Here is a 23,693-nt window from a genome sequence, read left to right on the forward strand (position 1 = left end):
ATTCTATGAGGCTAGCATTAGCTTACTAACAAAATCAGACATTGCAAGAAAAAAAAAGCTACAGAACAATATATTTTATGAAGATATATGCAAAAATCCTCAACAAAATATTAGCAAACCAAATCCAACAATGTATAAAAATAACTATACACCATGACCAAATGAGATTTATCCCAGGTTGCAAGGCTGGTTCAACATTTGAAAATCAACTAATATAATTCATTGCATCAACAGACTAAAGAACGAAAATCACATGATCATGAGAGTAGATGCAGAAAAATATATTTGACACAATTCAACACCTGTTCATAAAAAAAAAAAAAAACTCAGCAAATTAGCAATAGAGGGGGAACTTCTGGCTTAGGGAGAATGTATAGGAAGTGTTAGGCAGGGTATTGGGACATTAAGCTAAGCAATTTTTCAAGAGCAGATAACCTGCTACTGAGAAAACTAAGACGCAGCCCGCTTACTAAGAGGATAAAATAAGGTGAATAGAAAAGTGCAGTTCAGAGAATGCATGAAAATCAGGTATCCCAGTCAGTACTTGAGCCTAGTTTTCTTCTCTTCTCACAGTCTACTTTCTGTGTATGTGACCTTATCCTTATTCATGGCTTTACACATTGTCTACATACCAATATTGTGTATACCTCCACATGACTTTTATTAGACACAGACCCAACTACCTTCTTGATTTCTGCACTTGACTACCCCACAGGCTTTTTAAACTTAACACCCCAAACTGAACTCATTACCTCTTCTCTCTTTTCCCAACCAGATCCATCTCTCAGTGAATGACAACTTCATCAAAATGATGCTCCAATTATAATAATTACTAAAATGTTTGATAATTTAATGTTTGCCAAGTGATGTTTTAAGTGCTTGATGTCATCAGCTTCTAGAACCAAAACAAACATAATCTTGTTTTAAACAACAATGGGAGCCAAGATACTTTCCTGTGGCTGGTGTTTCCAAGCACACATTCCATTTGTGTGTGTGTGTGTGTGTGTGTGTGTGTGTGTGTGTGTGTGTGTCTGGAAATTTAAATGTTTTTCCAAATCTCATATCCCAAACAAAACCTGTCAAGAAATTAGGAAAACTATAAAACTACTATAATTCTGCTACTACAATTAAAAGAAGTAGAAAGTGGTTTGACAAAACCCATTGATGTCACATTGAAAGCAAGAGCTGGGTGCACTAACACTCAGAGTTGGAGAATAAGGCTGGACATTTCTGGGAAGAGATGTTGATGATCTAATCACTCAGGTGTGCTCATAGTTGTTGCTGTGTCATAAGTGTGTTTTCATGGTCCTGTCTGCTGCTAATGGTGAGTCCTTCTTATAAATAAAATAAATATTAATAAGTCTACATTGTATATTTTATACAAATCCTATCTGTGGTACTCCAGGAAGTAACAAGTTTTAGAAGAAATATAAGTCCTTAAATTGACAATTTAGAAATGTGATTATGTGATTATGCCATTATCTTTGCTGAGAGAACAGAATGTTAGGTTATTTGAATACTACCTGAAAGTATACACCGGTGATTTTTTGGGTTTAAACACTTGCTTTAGCCTACAGTTATTTGTAAATGCCTTAAGAAGAGATGCAAAGAGAAGCTGATGATTATATTGTCGGAGACTACTCTGATATGAACCCAAAACAGATATAAAATCCAAAGTAACAAAAGCAATATTGATTTCCACAGCAAGCCAAATTTAGGCAAGCACAAAAAATATTTTCATAGTTAAAAAACAAGTTTACATGAAGCAACATACACTCTAAGACCTATCTTGAAGATAACAATGCTTGTGTGCTCCAAAATTTCAGTTTAAGAATACCATTTAAATATTAAATATTTGCTTTTTAAATCTTAACATTATTATTTGGCATTTACTTTGTTTTAATAATTTCTTCTTTTATGAAATATCTCTATCAAGTTAGAGATCAATTTGGATGTTATTGAAATATTTAATCTTGTCATAATATACTGGTTTAAGATTAGAGCATGCACTTTCATTATTCTTAAAAATTACATGAAAATTTTAGTATAGCCTAATCACAGAAATAATTCAGTTTATTATAATAACATAATTATGTAAAACATGTAAATAAATTTTCATGAAAAACAAGGTATAGTAATGTTTTTAAGAATTCCCAGGAGGGCGTGGTGGCTTATGCCTGTAATCCCAGCACTTTGCGAGGCTGAGGCAGGCAGATCACAAGGTCAGGACTTCGAGACCAGCCTGACCAACATGGTGAAACCCCATTTCTACTAACACTACAAAAAATTTAGCCGGGTGTGGTGGCACACACCTCTAATCCCAGCTGCTCAGGAGGCTGAGGCAGGAGAATCGCTTGAACCCTGTAGATGGAGGTTACAGTGAGCCAAGATTGCACCACTGCACTCCAGGCTGGGCAACACAGTGAGACTCCATCTCAAAAAAAAAAAAAAAAAAAAAAAAAAGAATTCCCAAGAATTTCTGAATTCCAATTTCTCATTCTTGAATTCGGAATATTAACATCTTACAGGAACTTGAAAACATTACCTGTTAAACTATTCTGGAATAGCAAGAGTTTTCCACACATGTGTTTAAAAATACTGAGAAAACAACAAAAACTAGCTCTTGCTCCTGGAAGATAAGACCAAATTAAACAAAATAGTTAACATTTCAAGAACAACCACTGGTTGGTTGATCAAGGTTAGCCCTCTTCCTTGTTAGGCTGGTCAGTCCAAAGCTGTTATGTCACACACATTGTGCAATCCCAACTTGGTTCTCAACTTGCACAACTCACCTAAAAATCACTCAATTCAGGCCCTGAAATTATATAAATATCCTCTTCAGGCAACCTTGTTCTGAGAAAATACTAAGATTGGTCAAGGTGATATTCTCCCTACTGTGATAAGTCTACTAAACTGAGTTTTGTTTGATCAAAATATTTTTTTGGTAGTGTTTTGAAGATCAGAAGTTGACTGCTATATAATATTTGCATATGCATTAGGAAAGAACTAACATAATTCTCATTCTATCCGTGAGTATTGAGGCATAGAGAGGTTAAATAACTCACCTCATGTCTCACAGATCAGTGGAAGAGTCAGGATTCCATACAATTTATCTTTTTCTATCATGATCTATCTAGTCCCCTAAAACACGTTGAATTTTTTTCAAACTATAGCTCAATTTCACCCATTTGCTTGCAACTCTTTCCCTTTGACTCACATAATTATAATATTTTACTTGAACTAGTGCAATTATCTGTGAACCGATCTTACTTCTAATCTTGCCCTCCTTGAAATCGCTCTCTAGCAGCCAGCCAGAATGTCAGAATCATCTTTGAATTTGCAAACTAGAGACTAGCTTCCTCTACTTAAAACATTTTCAGTGGTGGTCTACTGAATATACAATTGACAATAAAAACAAAATAAGAAACACACACACACACGTATATCACACTATAAAATCTAAATACTTAGCAAGGTCTCCAAGCCCTGCTTTAGCTGACATTTGCTACCTCTCCAGGGCTATACCTTACTAAACCTTTATAATTTTCTCTCCTTCCAACAGAGTGATTTTCTTTCATTTCTTCAAATATATGGCTTCTCTTTCTTATCCCAGAGTTTTGCACAAAATTATTCTTCTGCTTAGAGTCCCTTTACCTTCTAGGTCTTTTAAAATCACTCATATCTTATCCTTTAGGCCTCTGCTCTAAAACTTTTCCAGAGATTATCCACATAACTTCAATATCTAAATCAGGGGCCCTTGTTAAAATGCAATCAAAATGTTACCTTTCTGTGATAACATGTGTTACAATTTACCATTATACCTTTATTTTAGTGACTATTTAATCCATATTTTTATTCCACAAGACTATCATTTCTACTAAGTCTGGTGGTAAGATTTTTGTTCATTACTGCTGCTATAGTTTGGATGTTTGGCCCCTACAAATCTAATGTTGAAATCTGATCCCCAGTGTTAGATGATGTGGGTACCTAGAGGGAGATATTTGGGTCATGGGAGCTGATTCCTCGTGAATGACTTGGTGCCATTCTTTCATGAGTTCTCACTCTATTAGTTCCTGGGAGAGCTGGTTGTTAAAAAAGAGCCTGGCTCCTCCTACCCCCTCTCTTCTTGCTTTTTCTCTTGCCCTATAATCTCTGTACATGACAGCTCCCCTTCACCTTCCAACATGAGTGAAAGAAGCCTGAGGTCCTCACCAGAAGCAGATGCCAGAGCTATTTTTCTTGTTCAGCCTGCAGAACTGTGAGCCAAATAAACCTCTTTTCTTTATAAATTGCCCAGCCTCAAGTATTTTGTTATAGCAATTCAAACAGACTTATACGACTGTATTTTCGGTATCAACACAATATTGCTACCTAAAAGCAATGTAGTCACTAATAGTTGAATTGATAAATAAATACATGAATGAATGATAGCATACAAGAATAAAATTTCGGAGACTACTAAAATGCTGCCCTAATTTATCTAGGGTAAAGGTTAAGGCTGTATAACTGCTAGTTGGAAATAGCAGTGCTTCTAGGTCAATGGTTTTCAACCCTGGCTGGGCTCTATAATTATATGAAAACTTGAAAAAAATCATTTATCAGATACCACACAACAAGATTAAATAAATGTTTTGGAGAAAGGCTCAGACATCAAGAATTTTAAAATAATTTCCAAGTCAATTCTAATGTGGCTAAGATTGAGAACCATAGTAAGGAGCATGGAAAACTAGATATTCCCCAGAATCATGAACACTGGGTATGCTAAAACCATATTTTAGTTCTTGGAAGGTCATAATACAAATCAAGAGGACATTTAGAATACAAAGGTGAGTTATATGTATCCCACATTTTACTTGATATCTCTATTCTTCAAATTATGGCTAAAACATTGGCTGAAACTCCCAATTTCATGGCTTGTTAAACTCAGATATTGATTAAGATTTTACTACATCTCTAACCTTCCTACATTGCCTCTTCTTCCTACCCTTTGCTTCATACCTATTGCCCAAATTCTGTTCCACAAAATGCAGTATGAGCTTCTTGATTTCACAAGATACAATAAAAAATTCAACTAAGCCATACATTTTATGTATTTAAACTATCCAGAGATTTTGAGCATTGCAGAAAGCATGGAATTGTGCACTGCCAACATTTCATGCCCTGAACCCTCCTGAATTTCTTTCTTCTGATATTTTACACCTCCAGCCAAAGGCAGTCTCATTGAAAGGGTTAATGTACCTCCAGTCTACTGCATTATTTTGTTAGTACCATGAAAACTCTGGTAATACATTTTATACACACACACACACACACACACACACACACACACACACACACACATATTATAGTGCCTTCCTGAGAAACTAGTTTTAGCTCATTGGAAATTATTTCTGTCTCCTGTTGGTACATGAGATGAAGATTATTAACAGTTGCAGATTGGTATCTTTGGACTCATGGATGAACACTCCCTCTTTTTTGTTCGCTATGAAGGATTTGGAGGGATTTTTCTCTGATGGCCCTTTAATGGCCTGACTTTCAGGCTTATCCTGGAGCCCAAGGTAAGAAGAAATCTTCTTGTCCTTTCCTCCAGGTCAATAGTTTCTCATATCATGGAATCACAGCCAGCTGAAATACCATGTATAATCACTACAGAAACCCAGTGAGAGGGGCAAAGAGATGCTGGTAGATGTCTCTGGAAATGTCATAGGTTATATACAGCAGTTTAAAATTTGAAGATAATCCAGGAGACAGGCTTCTCAGCCTACTCCTCTGCCACACTTCTTCCATAATCAGAGATGTTCTAACCCCTCACAGTGGATATAAGCATCATCAGATGAGCACCTAGCCATATCTGCTGTATTCCTCCATGGATCTTGCCTCTTCCCTAGGGAATGGAGAGCTTCAGTTATTTTGATGTTGAAAGAGTTCAGCCCTCAGGTCCCTCCATCATTTCCCAACTTTCATTTTTGGAGGTCCAATAGGGAGAACTTCTCATTTTCAGATTGTCACCTGATACCAGACTACCAGGAGATCTTCTTCTTCTCTTTCTCCTTCAACTTTCCCACCCATCCTGAGGTTTTGGGTTTCTAGGAGTATCTACCAAACTTCTCATAATTGTCTCCAGATTGGAAGCATGTTCATGAATGTGGTCACTAAACTGTGGCCCAGGTTTGTACTGAAGAATTCATTAAGCAGATATGACAACAGACATATTTCCATGCCCTGAGAGCCCCCTGTTAGGAATTTGACATGAATTCCTTCCTACAGTAACTCCATGACCCTCAACATAAATTCAGTGTTTTTTGCTAAAATCATGCTCTTAGATATTATTCCCTAATGGAATGTAAAGTTTCTTCTCCTTCGACTTTCTACCAAAGTTGCTTGGTTAACAGCCACAATTTGGAACTAGATGATGGAAATAGAGAGCAGCCCCAGCCCTCTTGGTTTCCCTAGAAAAGCATGACTACACGCTTTTCTACATATCATTCCCAAAGCAGCCACGTATTCACATTAGCCTGATTTTGAAAAATACTATCTCGGTTTTTTGATTTCTTGAAGTGTCTTGAATCTTTGTGCTTAAGCAGAACTTTTCTTTCTTCTGTTAATGTTAACTCATCTTCATGTGTAAAGCAATCCACAAAATGAAAGCTGTTGTTTCTGAACCCTTTCTTTTTTCATTTAAAAATTGGCCTCACTTTATAATGCATTCATAAAGTTTGGTCTTAAGGTGTTCACGGCAAATGTCTCTTATAGCTCTTTTAGCCTTCATGGTTTCTCCATCACTGTTGTTAGGCTCTGAAAACCCTGTGTTGCCTCACACCCAGACCTGCCACCATGTGTTCTCTCTTTAGGAGACCAATATGAAATGAGGCTGGCAAAAAATTACTCTTTGCACCATGTGGTGGTTATTAGAGAATCACAGTAAATTGTGATACATGTGTGAAATTACTTACTGAAAATACAGATCAATCTCAGAGGAGAAATTTAATATTAGGAGGTAACAATGAATTTTCAACTTAGTTTGCATTTTTCTTTTTTTCTACACAGACATTTTAAAGCTTGATCTTTCTAAGAGTAGTACTGGAGACTCTGTCCATAGTTTTTCTGTGTTCTTCCTGCTTTCAAGTATGTTCCCTTACTCATGTTTAGTTTACATGTAAACTTCTAGTTGAAATTATCACAAAATGAAATCATGGACAAATTGAAGGCCAATAGTGAAACGAAACAACTTTGGTAGATGGCCTACTGCAGAGAGACAAAAGAGAATTTGGAGTTTTAAAGTCTGTTACAGATACTTCACCTAAGAGGTGATACATGTGTTTAAAGGTCAGTTATCAAGTCCTGTGTTCTGGAGGTGGGGGCAGCAAGGCAGTTGAAACCCAGGAAAAGAATAATTGACTACATTACTCTTTTCTAGTCAACATAATCAAGGAAAAACAGACTCTGATGAGACCAGTACTGATGCAGGGAGGCTCCCAAAGAGACATTCATTCTGTCCAGAGGAAATACCTTTGCTAAAGATATTGAGCCTTTATGGTAGGAGGAGGATATAACTGATTATATATAGGTAAAGATCTAGCTTAACAGACTTGGGATACTTAAGGCAAAGGAGGAACATCCCAGACACTAACATTCTTCCTATGTAAAACCTACCTTAAAACTGCTCCTGGTAAGCTTGCAATCACTAGCTCATTTATTCCTTCAGGTTTAATGTATTCTTTCTATCCTAATTGTGACCATGAATTACCCTCTGCCTCTTTGGTACCTTGACTTTAATCAAAGTATTTTTCAAAATATCACTTGACTTAACCTTCTCATCATTGTAGGTTAACACTGACCACATGTAAGTTAAAATTAAGTTTATCAACATGTCTCGAGTTATATATACACTCTATCTCTACATTTGTATTAATATTTCTCTTTTGATAGATGGATATGTGTGTGTATATGTATACACACACACACACACACACACACACGCACACACATATATATATATTCTTCCAAACTATATTTTATGATAAAATTTCTCCACAATGATTTTTTGTACTAGTCATCACACATGCTGGGTTTTATATTCTTTTTTGTAAATATGTCTTTAGGCAATTCACATGTAATTTGTTTAGTCAATGAGTTTCTTGTCACATATATACAAAGGTCTTTTATTCAAGATCAGATTTTTACAAAAGATTTTTCTGGTGGAATATTTGTGTACTTTGTTAGCCTGAGACCTAACATAAAACCAGTTTTTCTTACAATGAAGAGTTAAATAATGTTTGCTCTTAGATTATTTTACTGCCTGTACTATATAATGGACCTACTGCTTTGGCATGATGATTCACTAAATATTTCAACTTTCCTTGAAGTGATTTGAGGATTTTAAGCCACAGGAAGCAGATGCTTTGTCTTTAGGCATAATGTTCTTGGAATGAGAATGTTTATTTTTATTCTCAGTTACTGATTATATTCTGTTACTGATTAATATATTGTTTCATTTTATTTTTTATCATCTTCTTGATGATCATTGCCATTAAATGATAATTATTAAGGGTTTCCATTTGGAAGTTTACAAGTATTTAGGCAAAATTCTTTGGCTATTCCCCCTATTCTCAAGAGGTTGAAGTATATAAACAGATGGCATTTATTTCTATGGCAAATAGCAACAAGAAAGTTATACAAGGAACAGGAAAAAAGGATTTAACAATCAAATGATAACTATTTAGGGCTCCTATGCAAGTGTTGCATAGACTGGAAATAGGACATATGTGGTAAGTGGTAAAAACAGATTTTTCTAATCCAAGCAAGACTTTGGTGTGAATATTTTAATCTGTTCTAATTGACACCAGTTTCCATGATCTAATGGGCATTGTGTGATCCACATTGGTCAGCTGAGTGAGAAAGCCAAAGTGACTCCATTAACTGTGCCAAGGCTCCTCCTCTGGATGGAGAAACATTATCAGATAAGTTTTATTACAAATATATTTTGAGAAAGCTTTGGAAAGAAGAGGATATTTTAGGTACAGAGGCTACTACTTGAATAATTGAGCCAAAGAAGGTACAGTGAATCATTTTGAAGTATTTGTTCTGTTCAGGATGATTCTCGATTGACCTTAGCTCTCCAAATGGGGAAAACCAAAGCCACATTAGTATTTTATGAGCACCTGATCACATGACATGGACCAAGAGTGGAGATTTAAATAAAATGAGGAAATTGGCATTTCTTTTCCAGAAAACTGAAGTTAGCACTAAGATTATCTGTCCTTTCATTTTGTGATATTCATAACACATAAACTTGTGAGTCACCGAATGACCATCCCATGCCTTCCAGGTAGATTGAGTATCAGAGAAAGTTCACAGGGGAAGAGAAACCCCAAACCATAGAGACTGGAGACTGCAGATGAGAGAACAGTACTACTTCAACTGCCTGATATCTTTGCATTTCCAGGTTTCATTCTTCTTTTATCTGACCACACTTCTTTCTTTTTATTTCATGAAGAAAAGTAGGGTTTGTTTCTTATAACAAAGAGTTTAAATATAAATATGGCACCGATGAATTAATTGACACAGGAAGAAAGGGAATAGGCCAGGAATCAGAAGAGAAAGAAGCATAATATATCCCTAGTTAGAGGTCCTATATTTATTTCTCATTTACTTTCTAAATGACTTTCTTTAAATGCCACTGCAGTTTGGTTCTGTCTTTATAACTATATTGGATATATGCAAATATTGGATTTAGGAAATCAAAGCTCTGTCTATATATAGATAGATATGGCAAAGAAACATTTTACTTAGCATTTTACACTCTGTACTGTGATACAATTAGACTTTGCAAACAACAGCAAACAAATGATTTGGCAAGGGAAACACAGTCTCATGTGCTTGAGCATCAGCATCAGAATCAGCTCTGGCTCCTGTCCTCTCTGTCTTCATCCTCGACTGCTCTGTTAAACATTCACTGAATGGGGTTTCCGAGTCTAAAATCTTTTGATTGCTTTTATTTGTATCAGATTACCTCTTAAGGCACTTTTAGTACTCTCTCTTGCTTGCACTGACAAGAGGCAGAACGTCAAATACATGGTTTGCAGACACTCAATGATGATCAAACCTTCTAGGATGAGAAGTAAAATTTCATGGAAGTCGTAGGATAACCCATCATTGTGGAATTTCACTGACTTGGGTTCAACATTCACCAGCAGTGTGATCCTGTGGGAGTTATTTAACCTTTCTGATCCTCAGCGTTCTCATCTGTAAGTGGGGATTATGATGTTCATATGATAGGCCTGTTAGAATTACAGCAAGGTAACACATGCAATGTGTAGGGCATGGATTCTGTCACATCATAGACACAAAGACAAGGCGTATTATTGTTAACTTGCTAGAGGGAAATCCCTTAACACTCTGATTCTTAATTTAGTCACGTTATTGATGACCGAAATCCATTTGTACTCCTTATGTACGCAGAAGCTTTCAAACTTTATTTCCAGCAGCAGAGCTACACTCAGGTAATAAGTCAGCTAAAGAATGTTTTTTTCCTTGAATGAATTATGCGTCTGGTGTGCTAAATTTTCTCAAGGCAGTCAACCATAAAAATTATATTATGTATTTCTGTTGTGTAACTTGTGTGAAAGTAGAGTTTGTCAAAACTGGCTGCTCAGCATTTAATGAGACCCTCCACTGCATTTGATCCCGAGTCAAGCTATATATAAGGAGGGTAAACAAGGAGGTCAGAGAAGGGAGCTCAAACTAAGGAAATCATGCTATAAATAATAAATGGAGAACTTTTAAAAACTAAAATAAAATTGGTAGAAAAATTCAACTAATTGTCATCTTTTTTTATAAGTGAATGGTGAGTTTGCTTTGTGTGTGCCAAGACCTAAAATTAAAGAATTTCATTTCCCTTGAAGTCCTTAATACTCTTTGGTGAAATATGAAGCAGATGTCTCTATGACCTCTACCTAATTGAACAGGAATGTCATGGGGAGGAGAGTCATCAATCTCTGGATTGTCTTGGAAAAAGGTCCTGAGGATTTTCATGTACACTGTTACATGTAGACTAAGTTAGAATATTACATAAAATTAAGAGAAAATATTATAGCACCCTGCTTTTTATGCATCTACATTTAGATGGATGGAGTTTACAATCAAGTGCATAACAATGAAGTTTTACTTTCTTTGTCTCTAATTCATTGCAATGTTAAATGGTATTTTATCCTGGAATTTATTAAAAGATATTTAAATATTCTGAGCTCATCTTGTTTTCCAGCCACCTTGATTTGAGTGTCAAATGCTCATCCACGGTCTGCTGATTGCTTGAAGACAGAGTTGCAGTGCATACTGCAGTGTTTCTGAGTGGGTTTCTGCCTTTTGTAATCATTGCAAATTACAAATACCATTTGCACAGAACATGTTGCACTGCATCAGGATGACCACCTGCTTGTCTACCTGACCTATTATGCTATGAGAGGTTATACTTCCTATTGCTTGTTGTATATTCATCATCTACAACCATTTTCAGCCTAACTCTTTAGTACATTACTGTATTAGCCCATTTTCATACTGCTATAACAAACTACCTGAAACTGGGTAATTTATAAATAGAAGAGGTTTAATTGTCTCACCATTACACATGGCTAGGGAAACCTCAGAAAACTTATAATCATGGTGGAAGGCAATGGAGAAACAAGCACTTTCTTCACAAGGCAGCAGGAGAGATGAGGGAATGGGAGTGAACTGCCAAATACTTTTAAAGCATCATTCACTAGAACAGCATGGGGGAAATGACCCACATTATCCAATCACCTCCCACCAGGTCCCTCCCTTGACATGTGCAAATTACAATTTGAGATGAGATTTGGGTGGGGACACAGAGCCAAACCATATTAATCCACCTCTGGATCCTCCCAGATCTCATGTTTTTCTCACGTTTCAAAACATATCATGCCTTCCCAACACACCCCCAAATTCTTGATTTATTCCAACATTAACCCAAAAGTCCACAATCCAAAGTTTTATCTGAGATAAGGCAAATCCCTTCCACCTATGAGCCTGTAAAAACAAAAGCAAGCTACTTACTTCCAAGATACAATGGGGGTACAGGCATTGGGTAAATTTTCCCACTCCAAATGGGAGAAATTGGCTAAAACAAAGGGGGCTACAGGCCCCATGCAAGTTCAAAATCCAGTAGGTCAGTCATTAAATCTCAGAGCTCCAAAATGATCTTCTTTAACTCCATATCTCACATCCAGGGCACACTGATGCAAAGGGTGGGCTCCCATGGCTTTAGGCAGCTTCTTCACAGGCTGCCATTGAGTGCCTGTGCATTTTCCAGGTGCACAGTGCAAGATGTCAATGGATCTACCATTTTGGGGTCTGGAGAATGGTGGTCCTCTTCTCACAGCTCCCCTAGGTAGTGCCTCATTGAGGACTCTCTGTGGGGGCTCCAACCCCACATTTCCACTCTGCATTATCCTAGTAGAGGTTCTCCATGAGGGCACCACTCCTGCAGCAGATTTCTACCTGGACATCCAGGCATTTTCACACATCCTCTGAAACCTAGGTGGGGGCTTCCAAAGCTCAACTCTTGTTTTCTGTGCACCCACATGCCCAACACCATGTGGAAGCCACCAAGGCTTGGGGATTGCACTCTCTGAAACAGTTGCTCAAGCTGTACCTTGGCCTCTTTTAGCCATGGCTGGAGATGGAGTGGCTGGGATACAGGGCACCATGTCTCAAGGCTTTACAGAGCAGCAGAGTCCTGGGCCTGGCACACAAAACCATTTTTTCCTCCTAGGCCTCTGGGCCTGTGATGGGAGGGGCTGCCATGATGATCTCTGAACTATCCTGGAGACATTTTCCTCATTATCTTGGCTATTTAACATTCAGCTTCTCTTTACTTATGCAAATTTCTGCAGCCAGCTTGAACTTCTCCCCAGAAAATGGGGTTTTCTTTTCTACTGCATGGCCAGGCTGCAGATTTTCCAAACTTTCATGTTCTACTTCCCTTTTAAACATAAGCTTCAATTTCAGATAATCGTTTTGCAAACACATATGACTGTATGCTTTCAGAAGAAGCCAGTTCACATCTTGAATGCTTTGCTGCTTGGAAATTTTTCCTGCCAGATAGCCTAAATTAACTCTCCCAAGTTCAGAGTTTCACAGATGTCTGGGGCAGGGGCAAAATGCTGCCAGTCTCTGCTTAAAGCATAGCAAGAGTGACCTTTGTTCCAGTTCCCAATAAGTTCCTCATCTCTATCTGAGACCACCTCAGCCTGGATTTCATTGTCCATATCACTATCAGCATTTTGGTCAAAAGTATTCAACAAGTCTCTAGGAAGTTCCAAACTTTCCCACATTTTCGTGTTTTCTTCTGAGCCCTTCAAACCAGTCCAACTTCTGCTTATTAACCAGTTCCAAAGTCTTGTCTACACTTTCAGGTTATCTTTATAGCAGTACCCCACTATCCCAGTAACAATTTTCTGTATTAATCCATTTTCATGCTGATATAAAGAACTGCCTGAGACTGAGTAATTAATAAAAAAAAGAGGTTTAATTGACTCACAGTTCCACATGGCTGGGAAGGCCTCAGGAAACTTACAATCATGGCAAAAGGCAAATGAGAAGCAAACACTTTCTTCACAAGGCAGCAGGACAATGAGCGAGAGAGAGGAGGGAAGTGCCACACTTTTAAACCATCAGATTATTTGAGAACTCTCTGACTATCATGAGAACAGCTTGGAGGAAACCTCCCCATGATCCATTCACCTCCCACCAGGTTTCTCCCTCAACACATGGGGATTACAATTTGAGATGAGATTTGGGTGGGGACACAGAGTCAAACCATATCAATTGCCTCATCATCACTTACCTGATTTGTTCCAACATCTTTTTCCAGATCACCTCACCTCTTATCTTGCTTTCCTCCATAACAGAGTGATCATTATAGCCAGCAAAAAGGGGTATCCCTTTTTTGCACAAATTTCTCTAGTAGTTACCTATGGTTTAGGGAAAACTAAAACAAATCTTGCATTGAAATACTATATAAACTTTGTTAATAAGAATGATTATCTTATTTTAAATTTATGCACTTCTTTCAATGGTGTTTTAGCAATGCGAAGCTTATACCTCCAGAATCTCCCACTTATTTTTCTCATATACAAGCTGGATGGAGAAGTAAATAGCAGAAAAATAAATTGATGATATATAAGCTGTGGGATAGCTCAGGACCAGAGCCCTGAAGGCAGTGTTCTAAGCATGGCCTGGATTACTTATTGCTAAAGCAAGTTTCTTGGTCCTAGCTCATAATCAAGCCTGGAATGGAGAACTCTTTCTGTTGTACTATGATACTGCCAACTTTAGTACACTCCCTGGTGATGTTTTTGTTCACTATGGGTAGAGAACCACAACCTTAGGCCATTCAATGGGTATTGGAATGGATTGCAGAAATAGAAATCTATGGTACTGAACTTGGTAGCACATGGAGGTCCTACATGTAGTATTCTGAAGGTTAATAACAAACATAAAAATTATCTGTGAAACTTCTGTAACACTTATCTGTGATCCATGTACTAAGCAATATTGTAAAATTGATTTCTTACTGTGGATTGTAGTCACAAAGTTTTGAAAGCCCTTGCTCCAGGGAAGTAAAATATGCAATATGTGAAACAATCTAATTCTAATATTTAAATGTAGATACTTATGCCTACTTTTAAAAAGGGTGAGCATAGGAATGGTCATATGGGTCAGTACTGAGTTGCATCCCTCTTGCATTAAGTCAAGGCCCAAGGGAAATGTACAAATCCTCACAATGCTGAATCCTGTGAAGCTATGGATCAAGGCTATGTTCCACATTCATTAGAGCCCTCAACGTGCATTATTTCCTATCTGTTCAGTCTGAAGCCTTCAAAAAATAAATATTTTGATGGAAAGTAGACTAGTAGGGTGACCAACTTATTCCTATTTTTCTAAGACTTTCCCCATTTTAGCACAGAAACTCCTGTTTCCTGGCAACCCCCTCAGTTCCAGGCAAACCAGGACAGTTGGGTTACTCTATGTGTAATGCAGTAAATCATCTAAGCTGTTTGTATTTTATTCAAACAAAATTTTACTTCCAATTCCAACATAAACCAGTTGCATTTGAAGCTGCTGTGCTCTAAATAAGGAGAGATGCCAAAGCCTTTCCCAATTAACCCAATGCTGTCATCATCATCCCTAACTCTTGTCCAAGGGTTCTATGAGGACATGTGATTACATCATAGCCTTCCTGCCTGTCTCTCTTATTGGCTAGGTTTTACTGATTATGATATTTTCTCTGATGCTAAATTTCCTCATCTGGAATATGAAAATCAATATTTTTAGGGTGGCTGTGATATTTAAATTTCTCCTACTTGAGGCCAACTTGATTTACAAACCACTTCTATGACAGTATGCACCATAGACAGTGAAATCTCTTCAGTGCTTTTCTCTGGAAAATAATTACAAAGCATAATCATACCTCCTAAGTTGCTTGCCTTGCATAGATTTATACAATAGTATTTAAAGACTGAAATTTAAGTAGCAAAAGCAATAGGAATACAAATGTCAAAAGAGTTGTAGCAGGTGCTTACATTTTAGTATCTTGATTTTGAGCAGTCTCCAATAGAAAGATCAGGGCTCTTTGTAAGTATTATACAGTAATGGAAATAAGAAATGACTAGACAGGCAAACCTGTGGCCAAATCATAGACTAATGGAAAGTCTTATATTATCCATAAATTCTAGAACTTTTGGTTTTGGTGCTGATATATGTGTGTTACTCATAACAATTGGGTTCTCAAAGGAAACTGGTCATTTCACTGTAACTGCCCTTTCAAAAATGCAGATGTTGTGGGTTAGTATCATAAACTTACAGATTAAAATATTGTTAAAGGCAAGGACTTAGAAATACAGATGGTCGCCAACATAGAATGGTTCCACTTAGGATTTTTTGACTTTATGATGGTGCGAAAGCCATATGCATTCAGCAGCAAGCACATTTCGAATTCTGAAGTTTGATCTTTTTCTGGGCTAGTGTTACATGATACAATACTCTTTCATGATGCAGGCAGCAGCACTGGGGCACAGCTCCCAATCAGCCACGTAATTGTAAGGGCAAAGAACACATGCTTTACACTGTTCTGTGTTGCCGGATGATTTTGCCCAGCTAAGGCTAATGGGAGTGTTCTAGGGACGTTTAAGGTAGGCTAGGCTAAACTGTGATGTTTAGTAGATTAAGTGTATTCGAAGTATTATGGACTTACAATATTTTCAACTTATGATGGGTTTATCAGGATATAACCCCATCATAAGTCAAGAAGCCTCTGTATGATTAACTGCAAAAAAAATTCAAAGTGATTCTTAGTGATTACAACTTCTTTAAAGAATTTTAATTTAATTGGAATGGTCATAATTTCAGAGTATACATTTATCTTTTCATGGATCAATATCATTTGTCTTGGCCTCAATGTTGTATATATGTCCATATCAAACTTGTGCTTCCTCTAAATTCTTTTTACACTCATAAAATTTATTTTAGACTAACACAAATTAAAATAACCTTGGCAGAAATATGTAATGCAGAGTATGGTTCATTCTGACTCTTGAAGGGGGAATATGAGAATGGTGAGAAAAATACTCACCATGGAATTAGCAATAATTTTAAACATTCTCCTCTTAGAAACATCTGGCTGAGGCCCAGACACTTTAGGCCTCCTTTTAAAATGGGAATTGATTCCTGGAAGGAAACCAACATTGTCCACAATAAAATCTATTGCTTTGTGAATGAATTGAATTAGTGTCCTCAATTGAATACAAGGAGAGAAGATAAACCTGTGACTATGAATATGCTCCACAATCTCATAGAATTTTGTCCATTTCAACCAAATGGTTTAATAACCTTCCTAATTAAACAAATTGTCAGCTGCAGGAACATGCTGAAGCTTGCCTAAAACTATTCCTTTGGATACAGTTTTGGGCCAAATTAATTTTCATGATAGTTCTTCCACTTGTGTGGCATTGATTGCAATTCATGGAAATGTGTGTATCATCTTTCAGCTCTGTTCTCAATGTTGTGTCTGAAAATGACTTTCCGTAGCTCTTCAGTATTCCACCAGGATTCTGGACAAAGAACGGTTAATCTGTGCCCGTTTGCAGACAGTCACCTGGGTTACTTTTCTCCGTTTCCTCTCTACTAACAGTAGCCTGGACAGTGAGTTCTGCAGTAATGAGATTTTCCTAGACAACCTGACTTGCTGGTGAGTCCCAAGGATGGGGGTAGGGGCATTATAATATTTTGGGTCTTCAATGTAGGTCGCCTTGATGGATTTCAAAAAGTGATCTCATGAAGGCAAAACATTATTAAGAATTATCTGTTCTTTGTTTTGAATATCCCAGGGTCTCTTCTTTAAAAAGATGACATCTAGATTTAGAAATGAGGGCAGCATGTCATTTCCTTGAAAAAGAATAAGGATCTGTACAGAGGTGAGTAAATTATCATGGTGGTAGGGGTGCACTAAAGGGAATATAATAGTGTTAGCAGAGAAAGCAAACATGTAGGCAGGGTGATGAATGTGTGGTTTATACAGTGAATCACATTTGGCTTTTGACACTGACCAGAATTCATTCTTCAAATAGACCAAGTTTTATCCATCAGTTATCTCTTTCTTTTTTTTTTCATAGGCCTTCCCCACCCCTCCTGGGCAACCCTGCTTCCTCAAACTTACACAGGGGAGCTTTAGGATAAGTTGAGATCAAATAACAGAAAACACAGAATGAAAACTAGAAATAATTAAACAGCTCCCTTTATTTTTTTTTAGAAAAATATTTTACTTACAATTTTACAGCTTCTCTTTTAATTATTTCTAATAGTATTCAAGGGAACACTATATTCTCTTGAAAATAAAACAAAATACAACTTACAGTTGTTCTATAATACTTTTATCCACACTTCGTTCTTTCTGTGTTTATTTCATGCTATGCAGCACTGGCTTCTCATACATAGGACCTTCAAAGTTTCACCTTCAGAACCACTTGCCCAAGACAAATTAGCACAGCAGGAAATGATAGTTGCTCTGAGTGACTCAAGAGGAAAAATATACATTATTTCTCTCTAATCTGCTGAAGCACATTTGACTTGATTCCCATGTCGATTTTCATTTTGACAAGACAGATAGCAAATGAAGCACAAAGGTATAGATTTGTGCATTTATTCCCATTTTCAAGGCACAAGTGGAGAAATCTTTCCTGGTTGATGACTTAAAGCATCCTGTCAGTCTGTTCTTAAGTATGAAAGTGTTCGGAAATCAGGATGCTGTAATATGCCATTGCAATATCCCGTTAACTCACTGGGCTGAGCAGTACTTTGAGGTGTCAAGGGCGAAGAACTCTAATTCAACTGCCAATGATTTGTTACATTTACCAATGAGACAAGGCACAATAATGCTGGAGGGTTAATTTTTAAAACTACCTTCGAGCTCAGGAAGAGTTGAACCCTTAGAGTAGGAGGCATAGATTTGTCATCATTCCTTGCCACTTCCTTTACTCGTTGGAACCAGGCATGCACTGGCAGACATGCTTCCTTGAGAGCTGAGCCTGGAGTCTGTGACTGGGAAAGGTTTTTGCCTTTATGAAGTCACATATATTGTCCTGACGTCTTATATGATATGATTATTTGGTTTTCAGGGAAACTTCAACCATCAAAAGGAAGGCATTGATTTATTTTCAGTATTATCATTATTATTATTTTTAGAAATTCTCCCCTTCTTCAGGCTAAGAAAAAATAAAACTGTTTTTGAAAAGATTTTAGACGTCCATGCATGGATGAATACATTTTTGAAATAAAAAAACAGAAAGGAAAAACATCAGATTTTGCATTTGGGAAGAAACATCCGTTGTTATTTTCTGAATTCAAAATCTACATTCCTTGGGTGATGGATACTGCGTAATACTGGATTTCATTCTCCACAATGTCTAAAACCACCATCTGGGGGTGAATTTTAATAGCAGTGTCATGTGCCATAGTTTTGAGATCACATGCCTTTGCTTTTTTATTTATTAACCACAGACTATAGTTATCAGTCTTAATGGTCATCTTGCTGTATACATGTGGTGAAAATTAAACTGGAGGGAAGGAGGATAACTGACTATGTGAAAATTGATCACAACTCCAAAAATCACCTCAAAATTATCAACTCAAATTGAAATTAATTTAACAAATTTCATTTACACTTTCATTATATATGAGACTTTAGCAAAAGCTTATGGAAAGATCAAACAATAAGACACAATGCCTGCTATTACAAAGTTGACAAAGTTGTAAGGGGCAAAAACAAGTATTCTCTCTTTCTCTCTCTCTCTCTCTCTCTCTCTCTCACACACACACACACACACACACACACACATATGCATGCAGACGCAAATATAAATAACAAGGTCAATTCTATTAAACAGGTATATACAGTATTTTGAGGCTATGAAAGAAGAGAAAATTATATGACTGAGAAACTATAAATAGAACATTAATTATGAGCAGATATAAATTATTCATGTGAATTTTCAAAACTTTAAAAAATTTTAGAACACATTTAGATTTACACAAATGTTTCAAAGACAGTACAGAGACACCCTTTATATCCAGATTCCCCCAATGTGAATATCGTTTATAACAATGGAGCATTGGTCAAAACTAAGAAATTAACAGGATATGCTAATATTAACTAAACCACAGACTTTATTTTCATTGACAGGTTTTTAAATAATGTTATTTTGTGTTCCAGGATTTAATACAAAATACATCATTGCATTAAGGATATAAATTATTTTAATTCATTATTGCATCCTTAATAGTGATCCTTGATAGAGGTGGTGAGGTAAGATAACATTGGGTTGTAGGATCAGAAACAACTAATTTCAAATTCTTCTTTTGCCGATTATCTCACCATTGTAACAGCAGTCATGTAACTGAACCTTTCTAGGCCCCAGGTTGGCTCAGTTTTGAAAAAAGAACAATAACAGTAGCAACTTCTGCATTGTTGTACTAGGTGAGGACATGTATTTAAAGTGTTTAGCTGGTGTCTGACCCTAACATTTAGTGATTGTTAGCAAACATTATGCTTGATTATATTGATCCACTTAAAAAATGAAATTGTGAAAGTAAAATGCTGCCAGAGATTTTAAAACCTGTATATGATGCAAGAATAGCAGTGCATTTTTACATTTCAAATTAACATTACGCGTATTAAAGCTGGAATAATAGTAAAGAGAAATTTTAGAGGAACTCTTGTCTTGATTTGGATAGTAAGAAGTGAATAAGAGTTGGATAGACAGGAGAGAAGGATAAGATATTTTAAGCGCACATGTAAAAGAGCGCACCGCAAATCTGAAGAAGGGGCAGGAGATAAGTTTAGCAATAAAAGTAGATTTATGAATATGATTAGTTAGGGGAAAGCTGGAGAGGAAATTGGGACCAGTTTTGATGGGCCTTGAATGTCAGGGTAAGAGGATTTGACTTGATTCTGTAGGCAACATGATTTCATAAGGTGGGCAGAAATTGTTTGCCATGGGATGGGTCTTTTTCAGAGCACATTAACTCTCATTAATAGCCTATAAGGGAGATACATAAAGTACTGAAAATATTTTTAGATGATATAGCAAGACTCCTGGACACATAGACAGGTACTGAATTAACACTTAAGTACTTATTCTCTGGAACATTTAAAAGTAATTTTTAGCTCTTATGCAATAATCACATGAAGCATTTCTGGATCAATTTTCATTTGGAAACCACCCACTTGGTTAATTGCAGATAAAATGTCAAAAATCTTTAACAGCTTATTGAAAATGATATTTTGGCCTATATCTGTGAGTTAATATGGGTTAATATGAGAAATGTTTGTCAAGATCTCTATTGGTATTGTCTCAGCCATGACTTTTGTATTTGTCATTTTAGGTGCAACTGGGTGATAACGCACATATTTCAAGATATAATATGTGTGTGTGAATATGCTTGACTATTAGAACCATAGTATAAAATAGTGAGAGGAAATTATAAAGAGAATTTCTTTGGACTTGGTGTCAAGAGGTTCATGTCCTGGCTCTATAACTTATATCATCCATGTGACGTCAACACATCTCAGGTTCTTTGAACTTTATTTTTTTTAAAGCTGTCAACTAGAATTGATAATATATAATAACAGCTTCTCAAACTTAACATAAGTGTCGAGTTAAATTTTAAAATGGGAGTATTTTGTAAAATGCAAATATTATTACAAATATCAGTCACTATTTTATGATGTTATTTCAAAATGCTAGATTTCTCATGTTTGGGGTCCAAACAGTGGAAAAATTTATATCTGTGAATTTCCTTTTATCTTAATAGTTTTAACTTTTACATCAGTTTTTCATTTATATTACAAAAGAGCCAATGGAACAATATGAATTTACCCTGAATGCTTTTTTTCTCTCTGTCCATTTCCAACTAAAAGTGCCATGCAGGTGTGAAATAACAAAGAAGCCAAACACTGGTGAAAGAAGTGAAATTAAAAGATTGATTCATCCAAAAAAGGTAATAGTTAGACTTCTTCCCATCGAGCTGACTGCAATATCTTCCCTTTACCTTCGGGTTCAAAACATAGCCCTCTTTGATGTCTCATAAACATTTCCTAATAATGTTCTCAAATGAGATAAAGGATTATAAATGAAGTAATGAGCCTCACCCATGAGGAGAATTGAAGAGCTCTTAAAGAAAATCTGCTTCTGAAGATACGGATTCTAGAATCAGGGAGTTGTCCCCAATTCCCAGAAGTTCAAACCCAGTGATTAGCACAGAAACCCAGAACGGATAAATGATTTGTAGAATGTCTCGGTTTTTGGTGAAATTTCTTCAGATGAATAAATGATTAAAATGGCTCAATGAAAATCACACACAAAAGGGTGAAATATAATGACCATCTGATCTGTTAAAAGGAAAAAGCTTTTAAACTAATCGATCTTTTCCACAACAATTTATGTCATAGCCTTTTAAGATGATCCCATCTTAAATGGGGAAGTGACAAAGAAATATACATCTAATATACTTGTTCAATGGATAGATTTTCAGTACCCTAAGAAAATGCATTTGAGAGCTTTCATTTTTAAAGGGGACTACACATTAGATGCTTGTGGATGATCTTATGATCTTATGTTTAGTTTTACCCTTGTTATTGCTAAGGGTTAGAAGGTAGGAAATTGAGACCAAGACTTTTTTCTTTGGGCTTGATGGGCAATTGTGTAGCAATCATTTAACCTCCCTGTGCTTCATTGATAGCATCTCTCAAAGGACTACACTAATGTATGTCACGCTAATGCTTGCCATCCATCTACTTCTTGGGCACATTACAAGGGTTAACTAATAAGGCTGATAAGCACTTTACAAATTCAAAGTACAAAGTAGAAGTGCTAAGTAAGCTAAATAAAAAGAAGAGACTCACCTGATGGTCAACCAATTTGAATTTTCAATGATTTATGGATTTAATGAATACTTTCTTCTACCTTTTGAAATAAATTAAAGCCATTTTAGTACATTTTAAAAACTCATTTCAGAAATACAGGAATGAACATAGTGTGCATCATTTCTAATATGAACAAAGATTTTGTATTACTCAGGTGTTTTCAAAATATACTACTGTTGTGTATCACTTTTTGAAGAAGTCATAAGTTTTTTTTTGTTTCTGCCCTTTTGCTGTGGTGGAATATGTCATAATGACAAAATAATAAAATACTCTAACTGGTGAGAAAACCAGAATGGCAAAGTACAAGTTTCCATTGACTTCTAGGGGGAAATATCTCAACCACGGGAAAGAAAGATAAACTCTAAGGGAGAAAGGGATTTATTCCATCTTGGTTTAATATTCAGTCCTAGTCATACCTACTTCAGCTGTCACGAAGAAGACTAATTAGTGCCAGTGGTGATGGGAGGTTTTGTGATGCCAACTTTTGTCCTTTAAGAACTTGATTAAACTTAAAATCATTTCCTATACTCTGCAAAACAGAATGTTTTGACGATGTCTCAGCCATGTCACAGATGCAACCATTTCTATCAAACTTTGACATTACAGTTACTGTTACAGTAGGTAGCTAGCCATGCATGAGTGGGGCAGGAGAGTGCTCCCCTCACCCACCAGGAATGTCAGCTCACCACCAGGTGATGGTCAGGCAGTTGTCACACTGCCTCTCTAAAAAATAATTGGTCTTAAGACAGTGCCAGGGAAAGGTAGTTTCCCAATAGATAAAAATACCTGTGATTGATAATCAGCACCTTTTAGGAATTGAGCGAGTGAGCTCAAGCATGCACATTAAGAGGCAAAAATGGCAGAGTATGACCTTCCAGGGGCATTCCACTAGGAAAGGGAAGAATGCCTCAGGTGAGCATGCGTATGACTTCAGTAAATACACTGCACTTGTTCACATCCCAAGTGCTAGCAGGCCACCACGCATGTGGGCAGGTCACCCTGAGGGGAGAATCAAGGAAAACGGATGCAGGACCCCAGAAGTATGCCAACATATAAAACCCCAAGTCAAAGGTCAAATGCTGCACTTGACCTCCAAGATACCTGCTTGGGCCTCTTCCAAGTTTATTTCCTTTTTTTCTGTCCTGCTCTAAAGCTTTTTAATAAACTTCCATTCCTGCTCTAAAGCTTGCCTGAG

The 23,693-nt window shown here is 36.6% G+C and overlaps 1 long non-coding RNA gene across 1 annotated transcript in view; it reads left to right on the plus strand.

The window, feature by feature from the left end:
* Nucleotides 1–1,040: 1,040 nt before the first annotated feature.
* LOC105373651 (uncharacterized) overlaps nt 1,041–23,693 on the plus strand; it is a 42,737-nt gene continuing 20,084 nt past the window's right edge. Inside the window, exons 1-5 of the long non-coding RNA XR_923388.1 lie at nt 1,041–1,324; nt 17,107–17,266; nt 17,406–17,492; nt 20,959–21,145; nt 21,494–21,573. This is a non-coding gene — a long non-coding RNA (uncharacterized LOC105373651). The remainder of the gene's footprint in view (nt 1,325–17,106; nt 17,267–17,405; nt 17,493–20,958; nt 21,146–21,493; nt 21,574–23,693) is intronic.

The sequence above is a fragment of the Homo sapiens genome, chromosome 2 (genome assembly GCF_000001405.40).
Source record: "Homo sapiens chromosome 2, GRCh38.p14 Primary Assembly".
Lineage (NCBI taxonomy): Eukaryota > Metazoa > Chordata > Mammalia > Primates > Hominidae > Homo > Homo sapiens.